The 15,984-nt window shown below is 35.7% G+C and overlaps 1 protein-coding gene across 2 annotated transcripts in view; it reads right to left on the bottom strand.

The window, feature by feature from the left end:
* The window catches only part of CPO (carboxypeptidase O), a 29,957-nt gene extending 14,688 nt beyond the window's left edge, over positions 1 to 15,269 (bottom strand). For both annotated transcript variants that reach the window (NM_173077.3, XM_047443423.1), the window contains exons 1-2: positions 15,120 to 15,269; positions 5,074 to 5,170 (exon numbers count right to left, since the gene is read on the bottom strand). In NM_173077.3, the coding sequence (NP_775100.1) occupies positions 5,074 to 5,170; positions 15,120 to 15,187 (165 nt within the window). In that variant the 5' untranslated portion in view covers positions 15,188 to 15,269. The remainder of the gene's footprint in view (positions 1 to 5,073; positions 5,171 to 15,119) is intronic.

Raw genomic sequence — 15,984 nt, 5'->3', positions numbered from 1 at the left:
GTTTCCTGAGGCCTCCCCAGCCCTGCTGAACTGTGAGTCAATTAAATCTCTTTCCTTTATGAATTACCCAGTCTTGTGTATGTTTTCATAGCATTATGAAAATGGACTACTACAGTATATTGGTACTAGTAGAGTACGGTGCTTCTATAAGGATACCTGAAAATGTGGACATGACTTTGGAACTGGGTAAAAGGCAGAGGTTGGAACAGTTTGAAGGGCCCAGTAGAAGACAGGAAAATGTGGAAAAGTTTGGAACTTCCTAGAGACTCGTTGAATGGCTTTGACCAAAATACTGATAGTGATATGGACAATAAAGTCCAGGCTAAGCTGGTCTCAGATGGAGATGAGGAACTTGCTGAGAACTGAAGCAAAGGTGACTCGTTATGCTTTAGCAAAGAGACTGGAGGCATTTTGTCCCTGCCCTAGAGATCTGTGGAACTTTGAACTTGAGAGAGATAATTTAGGGTATCTGGAGGAAGAAATTTCTAAGGAGCAAAGCATTCACGAGGGGACAGAGCATAAAGTTTTGGAAAATTTGCAGCCTGACAATGCGATAGAAAAGAAAAACTAATTTTCTGGGGAGAAATTCAAGCCTGCTGCAGAAATTTGCATAAGTAATGAGGAGTCAATTATTAATCACCAAGACAATGGGAAAATGTCTCCAGGGCATGTGAGAGACCTTCACAGCAGCCCCTCCCATCACAGGCCTGGAGGCCTAGGAGGAAAAATTGGTTTCATGGGCTGGATTCAGGGCCCCCTTGTTCTGTGCAGCATAGGAACTTGGTGCTCTGTGTCCTAGCTTCTCCAGCCATGGCTAAATGGGGCCAAGGTACAGCTCAGGCCATGGCTTCAGAGGGTGAAAGCCCAAAGCCTTGGCAGCTTCCCCATAGTGTTGAGCCTGCAGGTGCACAGAAGTCAAGAACTGAGGTTTGGGAACCTCCACCTAGATTTCAGATGATGTATGTAAATGTCTGGGTGTCCAGGCAGAAGTGTGCCGCAAGGGCAGAGCCCTCATGAAGAACTTCATGAAGAACTGCTAAGGCAGTTCAGAAAGGAAATGTGGGGTTGGAACTCCACTTAGAGTCCCCACTGGGGCACTGCCTAGTAGAGCTGTGAGAAGAGGGTCACCATTCTCCAGACCCCAGAATGGTAGATCCACTGACAGCTTGCACTGTGCACCTGGAAGAACTGCAGACACTCAATGCCAGCCTATGAAAGCAGCCAGGAGTGGGGCTATACCTTGCAAAGGCACAGGGACAGAATGTCCAAGGTTGTAGGAGCCCACCTCTTGCATCAGCATGACCTGGATGTGAGACATGGAGTCAAGGGAGATTATTTTGGAGCTTTAAGATTTAATTACTGCTCTATTGGATTTCGGACTTGCTTGGGGCCTGTGGCCCCTTTGTTTTAGCCATTTTTTTTGCATTTGGAATGGGTGTATTTACCCAATGCCTGTACCCCCATTGTATCTAGGAAGTAACTAACTTGCTTTTGATTTTACAGGCTTATAGGTGGAAGGGGCTTGCCTCATCTCAGATGAGACTTTCAACTGTGGACTTTTGAGTTAATGCTGAAATGAGTTAAGACTTTGGGGGACTGTTGGGAAGGCATGATTAGTTTTGAAATGTGATGACATGAGATTTGGGAAGGGCCAGCGGTGGAATATATGGTTTGGTTGTGTCCCCTCTCAAAACTCATCATGAATTGTAGTTTCTATAGTCCCCAGATATCATGGGAGGAAGCTGGTGGGAGGTAATTGAATCATGGGGTGGGAGACAAGTTTTCCTGAGCTGTTCTCGTGATAGTGAATAAGTCTCAGGAGACCTGATGGTTTTATAAAGGGCAGCTCCCTTGCACACACTCTCTTGCCTGCTGCCATGTCAGACATACCTTTGCTCCTCCTTCACATTCCACCATGATTTTGAGGCCTCCCCAGCCATGTGGAACTATGAGTCCATTAAACCTCTTTCCTTTATAAATTACCCAGTCTCGGGTATGTCCTTACAGCAGCATGAGAACAGACTAATACACCATGGTTCCAAGATTAGAGAAGACCTGATTATGGCCTTCTCACATGTTCTCACATGCCAACAGAAGTTTCTGAATCAAGTCCTAGGCTAGGTGTTTTGATTCAATTGAGTAGACCTGAATAGCAGCTGATTTAATTACAAGTCTTATGTTGTGCTACAAAGAGTCTTATACCTTGGTCTGGAAGTCCGTAATTTGGGGTTCCATAACAATTAATGCAATAAGAAAATTCACAAACATAAGACATATTCAGACAATCATCAGCATTTCACACCTCTTACAATCAATTTCTATATAGTTGATGTCTCTGACAACAACCAAGAGTTATAGTAAATAATAGTTAATTGGCTGGGCATGGTGGCTCATGGCTGTAATCCCAGCACTTTGGGAGGCCAAGGTGGGTGGATCACGAGGTCAGGAGTTCAAGACCAACCTGGCCAAGATGGTGAAACCCTGTCTGTACTAAAAATACAAAAAAATTAGCTGGGCATGGTGGTGAGTGCCTGTAATCTCAGCTACTCAGGAGGCTGAGGCAGAGAATTGCTTGAACCCAGGAGGTGGAGGTTGCAGTGAGCCAAGATTGCCCACTGCACTCCAGCCTGGGCAACAGAGCAAGACTCTGTCTCAAAAAAAAAAAAGTTAATTGAGGGATAACAAATATCCTATTTGAAAATTGTTATATCTCAATTGACATTCATTTTAGCATGGGCTAGGTATAGATAAAATGTATTATAACAGTAGTAATACTTACTCAAGTGAGGGTATTTTCATTTCAGTCTATTCACTGAAAAGAATAACAGCTTACCACATGGGTAGTTATGTTTATATCTGTGATGGGACTAGGTGAGATGCAGATGCCTTATGTCTTGAGAGAGCTACAAATAGCAGCCAGTAGCAGCAACAAATATTCTTTATTTATTGCTTGTTCAGTACACAGTAGTAGTGTTTATTTCATTTACTCTCACAACAATGCTACAAGATAGATACTACTATTTCTGTTTCACAGATGAGGAAGCTGAGGATTAAAAAGTTTAAGTGTCTTTGTGAAAGTCACACTGCCAGCAAGTGGTCAAGCCATGTGTGAACTCATCTCTGATACCAGGTCATAAAGTGTCCATGGGCCATACTGGACCTTTACAAAATTGTAGAACTTTCAGTACTTTGGGGTGACTGCTATATAAGAAAGTATAAATCTTTTCTTGTACTTGTTGAAAAAAAGTCTGGAAAATATGAATATATTCCTAAATGCTGAGAGAATAAATTGGTAAAGGTCATTTGAAGGGCAAATTGTGCATTTATATAAAAATGTAGACATGTGTATTCTTTGACCCAGCAACTCTATTTTTAGAAATTTATACCTCAAAAAAGATTTGCATAATGTCACATACATACACACACGTACATAAGTAGAAGCTAATTTTTCACTGTATCCAATTTTGGAAACCACCAAACTTATCTTAATAGCAATACAAATATTTCTTTTTTTGGAGGGGAAGCTACAATTCAGTTTATTCTCATATAAATTGTAAAGCATTAAATAATATTCTGACCTTTCCAGTTTTACTGTATGGAGATTATAGAGGGTGTAGTTGTAAGGTATAATTTACATGGTCTTGTCTATTTATACTTAAAAGGTACATGCAAGATAATTTTTTTTGGTTCCACCCCTTTTTTTTTTAATTATACTTTAAGTTCTAGGATACATGTGTACAACATGCAGGTTTGTTACATAGGTATACATGTGCCATGTTCGTTTGCTTCACCCATCAACTTGTCATTTACATTAGGTATTTCTCCTAATGCTATCCCTCCCCCAGGCCCCCACCCCACCCACAACTGGCCCCGGTGTGTGATGTTCCCCCTCCCTGTGACCATGTGTTCTCACTATTCAACTCCCACTTATGGGTGAGAACATGCAGCGTTTGGTTTTCTGTCCTTGTGATAGCATGCTTAGAATGATGGTTTCCAGCTTCATCCATGTCCCTGCAAAGGACATGAACTCATCCTTTTTTATGGCTGCATAGTATTCCATGGTGTATATGTGCCACATTTTCTTAATGCAATCTATCATTGATGGACATTTGGTTGGTTCCAAGTCTGCTATTGTGAATAGTGCCACAATAAACATACATGTGCATGTGTCTTTATCATAGAATGATTTATAATCCTTTGGGTATATGCCCAGTAATGGGATTGCTGGGTCAAATAGTATTTCTAGTTCTAGATCCTTGAGGAATCGCCACACTGTCTTCCACAATGGTTGAACTAATTTACACTCCTACCAACAGTGTAAAAGCGTTCCTATTTCTCCACATCCTCTCCAACATCTGTTGTTTTCTGACTTTTTAATGATCGCCATTCTAGACGTGAGATGGTATTTCATTGTTGTTTTGATTTGCATTTCTCTGATGACCAGCAGTTTTGCATATGTCTGTTGGCTTCATAATTGTCTTCTTTTGAGAGGTGTCTGTTCATATCCTTTGCCCACTTTTTGATGGGGTTGTTTGTTTTTTCTTGTAAATTTGTTTGAGTTCTTTGTAGATTCTGGATATTAGTCCTTTGTCAGATGGACAGATTATAAAAATTTTAAAAAGTTTTCCCCTCTTGAGAACTACTGCATGTGTCCTGTAAATCCTACAATAAATACATTTTCAGCTAAATATGATTCAATCAGAAGGCTTCTCCACCTCACACCCATATAAACAGCAATGCTGCCCAGCTTAAACTTGCTAAGAACTTGACAAACAAAAATAAGAGTTAATTCTGGTTCATGTTCAGAGCAGCAAAACTGGCTCGTTGGGATGTTCTTGTTCATTTTCTTTTTGTTATTAATTTTTTAAAATTTCATATCACCAGCTTTTACAGCTTCAATGGTGGTGGCGGGTGGGGAGATGTTCAGGAATCCCTTGAACTCAATGTATTGGCAGATCTTAACACCACATTTTCAGCCTCTCTAATGCATGGATATTACTAGTGAACCATTCTTTGCCCATCCTAAAGTAGGTTGTGACAACCACCAACCTCCTGCCATGTGTCCTTCCTTACCTCTCCCATGGGGTGGTATATGTTATAGGAATACGTCTCCAGGCTCCATGGACTCACTGACTTGTCCACAATCTCTTGTCTGTGTTGGGCTAAGGATCTGCAAAGGGAAGAAAGTAAGAGGAAAAGCAGTGGTGAAACTGGGATATCCTGAGGGTTGGCGGGTTGTTGAAAAAGGTAGTAGAATCAGTGTGCACAGGACTTGGAGGACAAAAGCCTGTGTTGGAGTCTTTGGCTCTGTGACTTACTAATTATGAGACCTTGGGCAGCCACTGAGCCACTCTGAGCTGAAGTTTCTTCATCTGTAGAGTGAGAACAATTATTCCAACCTTGCAGGGAGGCTAGGATAATTCAATAAAATGTTGTAGATAAAAATACTTTAAAATTTGTATATGAAATAATAACTAAGATTTATTGAAGTGAAACTTACGAGACATGCACTGTTCTAAGCAATTTAAATCTCATTTATTTCTCTCTAAAACTCTGAGATAGGTACTCTTATTATCTCCATTTCAGAGATGAAGAAACTGAATCACAGGGAAGTGTTATTAGGGCTTTAAACCCTGACAGTCTGACTGAAGACCTTGCAATATTAACCACTGTACTGCATATAATGGTGAGAACTAATCTTTTTTTTTTTTTTGCAATGGTTTATCTTTTTAAAAATAAACTTTATTATTTAGCACACTTTTAGGTTCACATAAAAATTAAGCAGAAAATGCAGATAGTTCCCATTTACCTGCTATTCTCACACATGCACAATCTTCCCTGCTATAGACATCCCACACAACAGTGGTACATTGGTTAGAATCAATGAACTTTGATACATCATTATCACCCAAAGTCCATTGTTTATATTAGGGCTCACTCTTCATACATTGAATGGATTCTGACATATGTTTGGTGACACATATTTACCATTACAGTATAATACTAAATTGTTTTGTTTTGTTTTTGAAACAAGGTCTTACTTTGTCACCCAAACTGGACTGCAATGGTATGATTATAGCTCACTGCAGCCTTGGGCTCTGGGCTCAGAATATCCTCCTACTTCAGCCTCTCAATTAATTGGCACTACAGGTCCCAGCCACTACACTCCGCTAATTTTTAATTTTTGTAGAGACAAGGTCTCACTGTGTTGCTCAGGCTGTTCTCAAACTCCCGGCCTCAAGCAATCCTCCTGCCTCAGCCTCCTAAAGTGCTGGGATTGTAAGTGTGAGCCGCTGAGCCAGGCACAAAATAGTTTTAATGCCTTAGAAATCCTCTGCATTCTTCCAATTTATCCCTCCCTTTCCCTAACCCCTGGCAACTACTGCCCTGTTTACTTCTCCATAGTTTTGTCTTTTCAGAATGTAACATAGTTGGACTCATACAGTATGCAACATTTTCAGGTTGACTTCTTTCACTGAATAGTATGCATTTAAGTTTCCTCCATGTCTTGTCATGGCTTAATAAGCTAATTTCTTTATTAGCACTGTGTAATATTCCATTGTCTGGATATACCACAGTTTATTTACCCTTACTCATCTACTGAAGAACACCCTGGTTGCTTCCAAGATATGGCAGTTATGAATAAAGCTGCTATAATCATCCCTGTACAGATTTTTATGTTGACATGTTTTCAATTCATTTGGATAAATACTAAAGAGTGCAATGGTTGGATAATATGGTAAGAGTTTGTTTAGTTTTGTAAGAAATTGCCAAACTGTCTTCCAAAGTGGCTGTACCATTTTGAATTCTCATCAGCAACGAATGAGAGTTCCTGTTGCTCCACATCCTTGTCAGCATTTAGTGTTGTCAGTGTTTTGGATTTTGGACATTCTAATAGGTGTGAAGTATATTATCTTCTTGTTTTATTAACAAGTATTATCATCTTATTTTAATTTGTGATTCCCTAGTGACATATGATGTGGAATATCTTTTTTATGTTTTCTCGCTGTCTCTATATTTTCTTTGATGAGGTGTCTGTTCAAGTCTTTTGCCAATTTTTTATTCAAGTTATTCCTTTTCTTGTTGTTGAGTTTTAAGAGTTATTTATATATTTTGGATAACAGTCCTTTATCAGATGTGTGTTTTGAAAATATACTCTGTCAGTTTGTGGCTTGTCTTTTTGTTTCTTAACATTGTCTTTTGCAAAGTAGAAGTTTCCAATTTTAATGAAGTCTAGCTTATCAATTCTTACTTTCGAGGATTGTGCCATGTGTGTTGTATCTAAAAACTCATCACCATACCCATAGTCATCTAGGTTTTCTCTTATGCTATCTTCTAGAGTTTTATAGTTTTGCATTTTCTATTCAGGTCTATGATACATTTTGAATTAATATTTGTGAAGGTGCGATGTCTATGTCTAGATTTACTTATTTTGCATTTGGATGTCTAGTTGTTCCAGCACTATTTGCTGAAAAGACTGTTTTGTTCCTTTGTCAAAGATCTTTTGACTATATTTATGTAGGTTTATTTATGGGATCCCTATTTTCTCCCTTTGATTTATTTGTTAATTTTGTTACCAATAACACCTGTCTTGATTACTGTAGCTTTATATTAAGTCTTGAGGTTGGGTACTGTCAGTCCTTTGACTTTGTTCTTCTCTTTCAATATTGAGTTGAATATTTTCGGTCTTTCACTTTTCCATAAAAACTTTAGAATCAGTTTGTCAATAACCACAAAGTAACTTGCTATCAAGTTGGGAGGAACTGACATCTTAACAATACTCAGTCTTCCTGTCTGTGAACATGGACTTTCCATTTATTTAGTTCTTCTTTGATCTCTTTCATTAGAGTTTTTTAGTTTTCCTCATATAGATCTTGTATAAATTTTGTTAGAATTATACCTAAGTATTTTATTTTGAGGGGTGCTAATGTAAATGGTAACTTGTTTTTAATTTCATATTTTACTTGTCCATTGATGTTACATAGGAAATCAATTGACTTTCTAATATTAACTTTGTATCCTGCAACTTTGCTATAATTGCTTATTCCAGGAGACTTTCTTGTGGTTGATTCTTTCTGATTTCTACATTGATAATCATGTCATCTTCAAACAAATACAGTATTATTTCTTTCTTCCCAATCTGTATACTTTTTATTTTATTTTCTTGTCTTATTACATTAGCTAGGACTTTCAGTATAATGTTGAAAAAGAGTGCTGAGAGGGAACATCCTTGCCTTCACCTTAGTAGGAAAGCTTCTAGTTTCTCATCATTAAGTATAATGTAAACTGTAGATTTTTTGGAGATGTTGTTTATCAAGTTGAGGAAGTTCCCTACTACCTTTTTAATCACAAATGTGTGTTAGATTTTGTCAAATGCTTTTTCTACATCTATTTATATAATCATGTTATGTTTCTTCTTCAGCCTGTGGGTAGAACAGATAGTACTAATTGATTTTTGAACGTTGAACCAGCTTTGCATACCTGGGACAAATTCCACTTGGTTGTGGTGTCTAATTCTTTTTATACATTGTTGAATTTGATTTGCTACTATTTCATTGAAGATTTTTCTATCTGTGTTCATGAGAGATATTGGTCTGTAATTTTTTTTTCTTTTAATTCTTTGATTTTGGCATTAAGATAATACTGATCTCATAAAATGAGTTAGGAAGCATTCTCTCTGCTTCTATTTCTGGAAGACATTGCAGAGAATTGGTATAATTTTTTCCTTAAATATTTGGCAGAATTCACCAGTGAACCTATCTTGGCCTGGTGCTTTCTGTTTTAGAAGATTATTAACTATCTTTTTTTTTAATTTAAAAAAATTTTTTTAAATATTTATTTATTTATTTTGAGTCGGAGTTTTGCTCTTGTTGCCCAGGCTGGGGTGCAATGGCATGATCTCGGCTGACTGCAACCTCCGCCTCCCAGGTTCAAGCAATCCTCCTGCCTCAGCCTCCCGAGTAGCTGGGATTACAGGCATGTGCCACCATGCCTGGCTAATTAACTATCTATTCAATTTTTAATAGATATGGGCTTATTCCAAATGTCTATTTATGCTTTATTTTTTAACAAACAGCTTAATAAAGCTACTCAGTGCCTCCTCTTTGCCAGATATTGTGCTCACACCTAAGAGAAACATTCATGCAGAGTATATAATTTTATTCTCACTACAACTCTGTAAATTGTTATTCTCCATATGTTACAAATGAGGAAACTGAGACCAAGAGAAATTAGGTAATTAGCAAAGAGTCACAGAGCTAGTAAGTCATACAGCGAATATTCTATCTCTAAGCCGCACAAACATTTGTTGAATGACTTAGTTTCCTAGTTTAAATGCCCTATGTAAGCAAGAAATGGGGTTATATTTTTATTGTCAGGGCATATTAAGTGGTAATTCATTTACCCAGCAAATATGTATAGAATGGCTACTATGTTAATGGCATTGGAGTATGAACTTTTGGAGCTGTTGGGGTACAAACTTTTGTATAGTGATACTGAGTTGCAATGAAGTGTGTTAGAGATCTAATTAGCTAACATTTCTATGACTTTTACCTATTCTTCTACATTTTCTTGAGCATTCAAAAAATGCTCAAAATAGTATTGTGTCTTCTCTTTCTCTAAGTCTTCATTTCTTTATTTGTAAAATGGGAATAATAATAGTACCTTCCCAAAGGATTTTTATGAGGATTAAATAAGATAATCTGTGTTTAACAATAAGCACAATTTCTGACATATAGTCAATTCCTAGTAAGTGTTAAAATACAATTCAAAACAAAGCATAAGCCCTATTTTGCTGCATGATATTAAAAATAAAAATTGTACAAAGAATAATTTAGCCATCCAACTAGTATTATCCTCAAACAATGCCAAACTACAAAATGTTTTGATAGAATTAATTAAAATGCAAGTTCCAGTCATATCTATGTAAGTCCTAATTTTATTTTTTTTCTGGTTCACTTAGCATCATGTACCACATTAAGCTACTCGAATGGAAATCAATTTCTCCAGACAATTCCACTACTTTAAACTTAGAGTTAGATTTATTATTATTAATTGTTAGTAATATTAATAATAATTTTAACAGAAGCTCTTTGTCCTCAAAATTAAAGATGTTTTATTACATTGTTCAATGAAGTTTGCCCTATTAGCTTGTCCAAATGAAAAGACAATCTCAGTGTCTTCATGAGATAGAATTGTCCAAATAATTGGTTAAAACAATGAAAATGAATTTTAAAAGAAGATTAAAAGAAATAAATGTTATTTACATTGTAATAGCTGAGAAACAATCATCTTCATGTTATTCACAAATCTATTTATAATATTTACCATTCATTTGATTTTTTAATAAACAAGGGTGCTTCAGAGTGAGAAATTTTAATATAAAAATATATACTGGTGCAAGTAATATGTTGAGGCTGCTTGCTTTACAAAAGATGATCATTTTGTAAAGAAAATACATGTATTTTCTAGTGTATTTAAAATTCATAAAAATTCATTCTTAACATACATTTTCAGGAGCAAATTTCGTGTCTTTATAAAGTAATCAGCAAATATGTATATTTTATACTAACAATAGTTAACCCTTACTGAGCACTACATGCTAGGCACTGGTCAAAGCACTTTATATTATTATCTTATTTAAGTCACTCAACCACCCAGTGGGTATATATTCTTACTACTCTATGCAAAAGTAGTAATAGGTAGTAGTAATTGAAAAGAAGATTTATTTCTTGCAGAATTAAAAATCTACTTAAGACAATAAGACATAAACACATCAAAAGCAAAAAAACTTTGTCATTAAATAACAAGGCATGAGGTATGATAAGCTAGTGCCTGATTAACTATCAATTAAATGGTGCACAAACTGTTTTAAGGTCAGGAGAGAGAGAATTCCAAACTCAAGCATAGCCAATAATAACAACCAATATTTTACTAGCAATTATGTATGCTAGAAACTGTTCTAAAAACCTGATATCTATATCATGTCTGTCCATCTATCTGCTTATCATCTATCTATCTATCTATCTATCTATCTATCTATCTATCTATCTATCTATCATCTATCCATCATCTATCTATCTATCTATCTATCTATCTATCTATCTATCTATCATCTATCTATCTTCATTTGATCGTAACAATAATTCTTAAGGTAAATACTATTATCCCAGTTTTTTTTTTCCTGAAGACTTTGTTACATAGGCTTAACTATTCTTTTATGACATCCTAGAAAATAAGGACGAAGTATTAATTAGTCCACTTTTAGGGGCTAAAAAATCGTCCAAATTGTCTACCTCTGATTGGGACTATAAAGAGAATAAAAATAAGTATTATAAAGTCACTGAAAAATCATTTTAACCCTTTCTCAGAATGGAAAGAGGAGAGGGAATGAAGCAAATGAAGAGGATATCCTTTTAACTCCTCCCAACCCCCCACTCCCTGTCTCTCATTCCTCACACTGGCTGTTTGGCCCATCCTGTCCTGCCATGAAGTGAGATTATTGACAATGCTTCCCCAACAGTATTGAGAACAAGGAAGCTGGCTGTTCTTCCTTCCTTCACATAGTTTAGCAAATGTTTGGGTTTTTCCTTATCACAGTTATCTACTCAGTGGTCTAGGAAAGGGAGTACACTAAAAAGTGGGGTTTGCACCTGGTGCATTCTTGTTTCAATTGGGCTGGGATTCCCTGGCAATGCCATAACACTGAGGGGAATAAATTAAATAAAGATAACCTAACACCCTCAGGCATTTGCCTTACTCTTGGCTACAATGTCTACAAAATGTGAGTCTGTTACTTCCTAAGCCCAGCATTGAGCAACTGGGTCCATTTCATATGCAAAAAAAGTGAATGGTCTGGGATTTAAGTGAAAGCCCCGATATTAAAAATGCTTATCACTTGTATATGAAACTGAAACACAATATGTAAACCTCAGAAACTCGAATACTTTGTTCAAATGAATGCTTAAACCATATACTTAGAAAAGGCTATTCTCTGTTTCTAGGCAATTTCTTGGGTGATGCATAAAACATGTAGAGAGGGGAGGAAAAAGCTGGCTAATCTCCCAAATTATCACCAGTCTCATCTCACTGATCAAATGAAAAGATTATTGTACTTTGTGTATTCTTTTTGAACAGGAATTCATAAAATGTTTAATAGAGAAAATGATCCTTTGGGGTACATTATTAATAAAGTCTGCAGATCAAAGATGATGGTCTGATAGCATTTTGACTGGAATGTATAAAGAGGCAAAAAAATCCTAATGAATATTGAGGCAAATTTTGTATTTTAAATACTTGGTGAAGAAATAGTTACATGAATATTTCATGATAGTTCTGTATTTTCAAACTTTATTTTTCTGCTTACAAAATTAACATATGCCTAACATGGAAAACGTAGAAGGTATGGAGAGGTAAAAAAGGAGGAGAAAAATAGAAAAGAGAAGAATTATCAATAATTCCACCTCCCTGAGTTAACTGCTACTGATATTTTGGCATGTTTCCTTCCAGACTTTTATCTGTGCATTTATTTTTCTTAAATGCAGGGCAGATTATATCTATATATAATTTTGTATTCGTTTCTTTGTATTCTGTATTCTACCAAAGACATTTCCTCAAACCAATGAAAACTCTTTAATGGTTGCACACTATTTGACAGTAAGTATATGTTACATAGTATCATTTATTTAAATATTTTCTTCTATGCTGGATATTAAAGCTATGTCCCTTTTGGTTTTTATACTATTATAAATAATTCTAGAGATAATACCTTATTGTGTAAATCTTTGTTCTTATTTTTTATTGTTTCCTTGAGCTACGTTCCAGAAAGAAGAATTAGTAGATCAAAGAAGATGAACATTTTCAAGCCATTTGATTGATATTGCTAAATCCCAAATGATTATACAGAGTTACACTTTTTCAGGATGTATGCAATATATAACATATGGGAGATTACCTCCCTAAATGCTCAAGAGAAATATTACAAAGCTTGTAATCTTTATTAATTTTAAATTTTCTAGACTATTATCACATGTAGTGAATAAAGATTATCAAAAATTGCAGCTAACATGTTTTGAGTTGGCGAGAGTTACATAAAAGTGACCATTATTTTTTATATCAATAACTAATAATTTAAATAAAAACAGCCAATAAAGACAAGCACGGTCAAGTGCAGTCATGAGGAACCATCCAATGGAAGCTGTCTCATCTGAGTCCCACTGCCTGAGCCTAGTCACTTCAATAATTTAACCTGGGCTTGGAATCTAATTTTTTAAATTAAAGTTTTATGTCATGTTCATTGTACGATATTTGCAAAATGAATAATAGTTGAGGGAAGGGAGAAAATATCACCAACCAAAGATAACAATTACCATTTTAGTACATATTTTTATTTTATTTTTTAAAGTACTCCATTAGATTTATATACAGCCTCTTTCCTTTAGCATAAAACATACATTTTCCTATGCCATTAAAAAGTTTTATACTTATTTTTCTATTGCATGAATAATATCCCATTGTCCTATATCACATATCAGCATTTACATAACCTAACATAGACATTCAAGTTGTTTCCAAATATTAGAATATATATATTATAAATAAAGTTGTATCCCAGAGCTGCATAAAACTCTTTCAGACTTTAGTTTATTTCCTCAGTATAGATGTCCAGAGGCAGGAACACTAGGCCAAAAGATTTATGTTTTAAGGCTCTTGATATTTTTAAGCAGCATAATTTTTTTTGTATTTCCTGTAAAATATGTAAGAGTCTTCATTTCCAATTTATGGATGAGGAATTTCAGAAAGGAAAATAAATGCCCTATGTACATGAAACCAAGTAAACTAATGGAAAAATGAGAAAGAAATATTCAAACAGGTTTTTGATATCACAGAGATCCTGGACTCTGTAAGTATCTGAAATTGAACTGAAGATAAGGAACAAGCTGAGGTCACACAATTATTGTGGGACAAAAATTGGAGTGGGTTTCTATGTTATGTGAGAGCAAGTTCATTGCAAGATTTCTTTAACCATGAAGCAAAAGAGGAAATACCAATTATAACCACATATACTTCATGAGATATGCTAAATGAGCAAAATAATGATTTGCATATGAACAAGGGAAAAACACACTTTATATGGAAACTATACACACACACATACACACACACAGATTTCAATAGAATGTATTTAGAGAACTTATGATTCATTAAGAGTAGGGAGAGACCACAAAAATGGGCAAATGACATTAATGGGCAATTTATAAAATGATAAAATTAGTAATAAAATATTTACTCTTATAAATCAACAAAATACAAAGGAAGTCAACAATGTGTATTTTTTACTTGTCAATTTGCCAAACACTTAAAAAGTGCTTTCATACACTGTTATTGGAAGTGTAGACTGATGTAATCTTTCTAGAGGGTAATTGGGCAATGTGTAGCAAGATCCTTACATTTTCCTCAGTTACTGACCCAGTAATTCCACTTCTTAGAGAAATAATTAAAGATTTGCAAAAAGCAAAAAAAATTATGTAGCTGGTTGCTCATCACAGCATTATTTGTAAAAATGAAAAAGCAGGAATTGACTAAATGACAGAATATTATTAGCAATTTCAACTGTTTTAAATAAATTGCTAATGCCATAGGAAAATTTCTGTAATACAATTTAAGTGAAATATTTCAGAAATAGTGCTGCATACATAATCAGGTAGCTATCTGAAAACATTAATAGTACTTATCTCTAGGTGAAATTATTTGGTCATTTTAACATTTTTCTTAATAATTAGGATAATGTGATTTACCAAATGAGATACTATGAAAATGAAGGATATAGAATTTGTATTACAATTTTCTTTTTCCAATCACAAAACATGACATGTCTATTTGTATATCTCATGCATTGTGTTAGGAAATGTTTGCTAGATATTTATTCATTTATTCAAGGATTATTAGAGGATTATGATTATTCAGTGATAAATTTCAGTGGTCTTTATTATTCTCATCTCATGGTGGTATATATGAGTAGCAAGGAAGGAGAAGCCAGCTGCATTGGTCTTAAAAAGAAACCATTCAATTTAGACAATCTAAATTATAATAATCAGTTCCTCTTCCCACTTTACACTCACCTATCATATCCCAGCCCTCCAGGAACCAGCATCCCCAAAAGATAAAGGGTTTCAAGCAGAGGCTTCATTCTGCCACACAGTAAGTTAGAAAATTCTGGGCCTCTCTGGCAGTGGATCAAGTGTCCTTGAGAATGAATGCATCAAGACTGTGGCTCCCACAATCAAGATGAGATAAATCAGTTAGTGGATGTCTCAGCAGAAAGTCACGGGCAATTGCTTTATTAACTCTCTCATGTCCTCAAACACCTTTTCCAGTGTGGGAAATGCTGTACCATTTGATATTTCATTTCTTCTCTAAAACCAAATTTACGTGAGCTCTCAACTTCACCAGATCCTGAAATAAATTTCCTCCCTATGTAAAGTCACCTTGGAGTATTTCTAGGAACCCCCATCACTCGTGCTCAGGAGCAATCATTCCTGCTCTTCCCCTCACACAGGTTGAATGGGAATAGTAGGCTAGTCTTTGTGAATCATGAGCCTGTTCATGAGACCAGAAAGAACACTCTGCTCTGGTCAAAATGGACATGGTCATTATTCAGAATCTCCACTTCCTCCTTCAATCTAAGGCTTTGATTGGGGTCAAATGCCTTCTCTTTTTCTGATGAACCACATCACCAGCTTCTTAAACAAACCCAGATCTCTTCAAATCTGAGCAGTGAAGACAGTTTCAATCCTTTCCCATGTGGATTTTACCCCACGCCCCTCTTACATGAAGGACTCTGTCAGATACTCCGCCATGTTTTCAGACATAGCCAAGTTATGCTTGAATCTCATTGACCAGTAAAATTAAAGACTCATGTTAAGACCATTGCTAATAGTCTAACTGAGCAAGGCAAACTTTAGCGCAGAGCAGGTAGAGTATTTA

This window comes from Homo sapiens, chromosome 2 (assembly GCF_000001405.40).
Source record: "Homo sapiens chromosome 2, GRCh38.p14 Primary Assembly".
In the NCBI taxonomy this organism is placed as follows: domain Eukaryota; kingdom Metazoa; phylum Chordata; class Mammalia; order Primates; family Hominidae; genus Homo; species Homo sapiens.
This window is presented reverse-complemented; position numbering and strand designations above follow the sequence as displayed.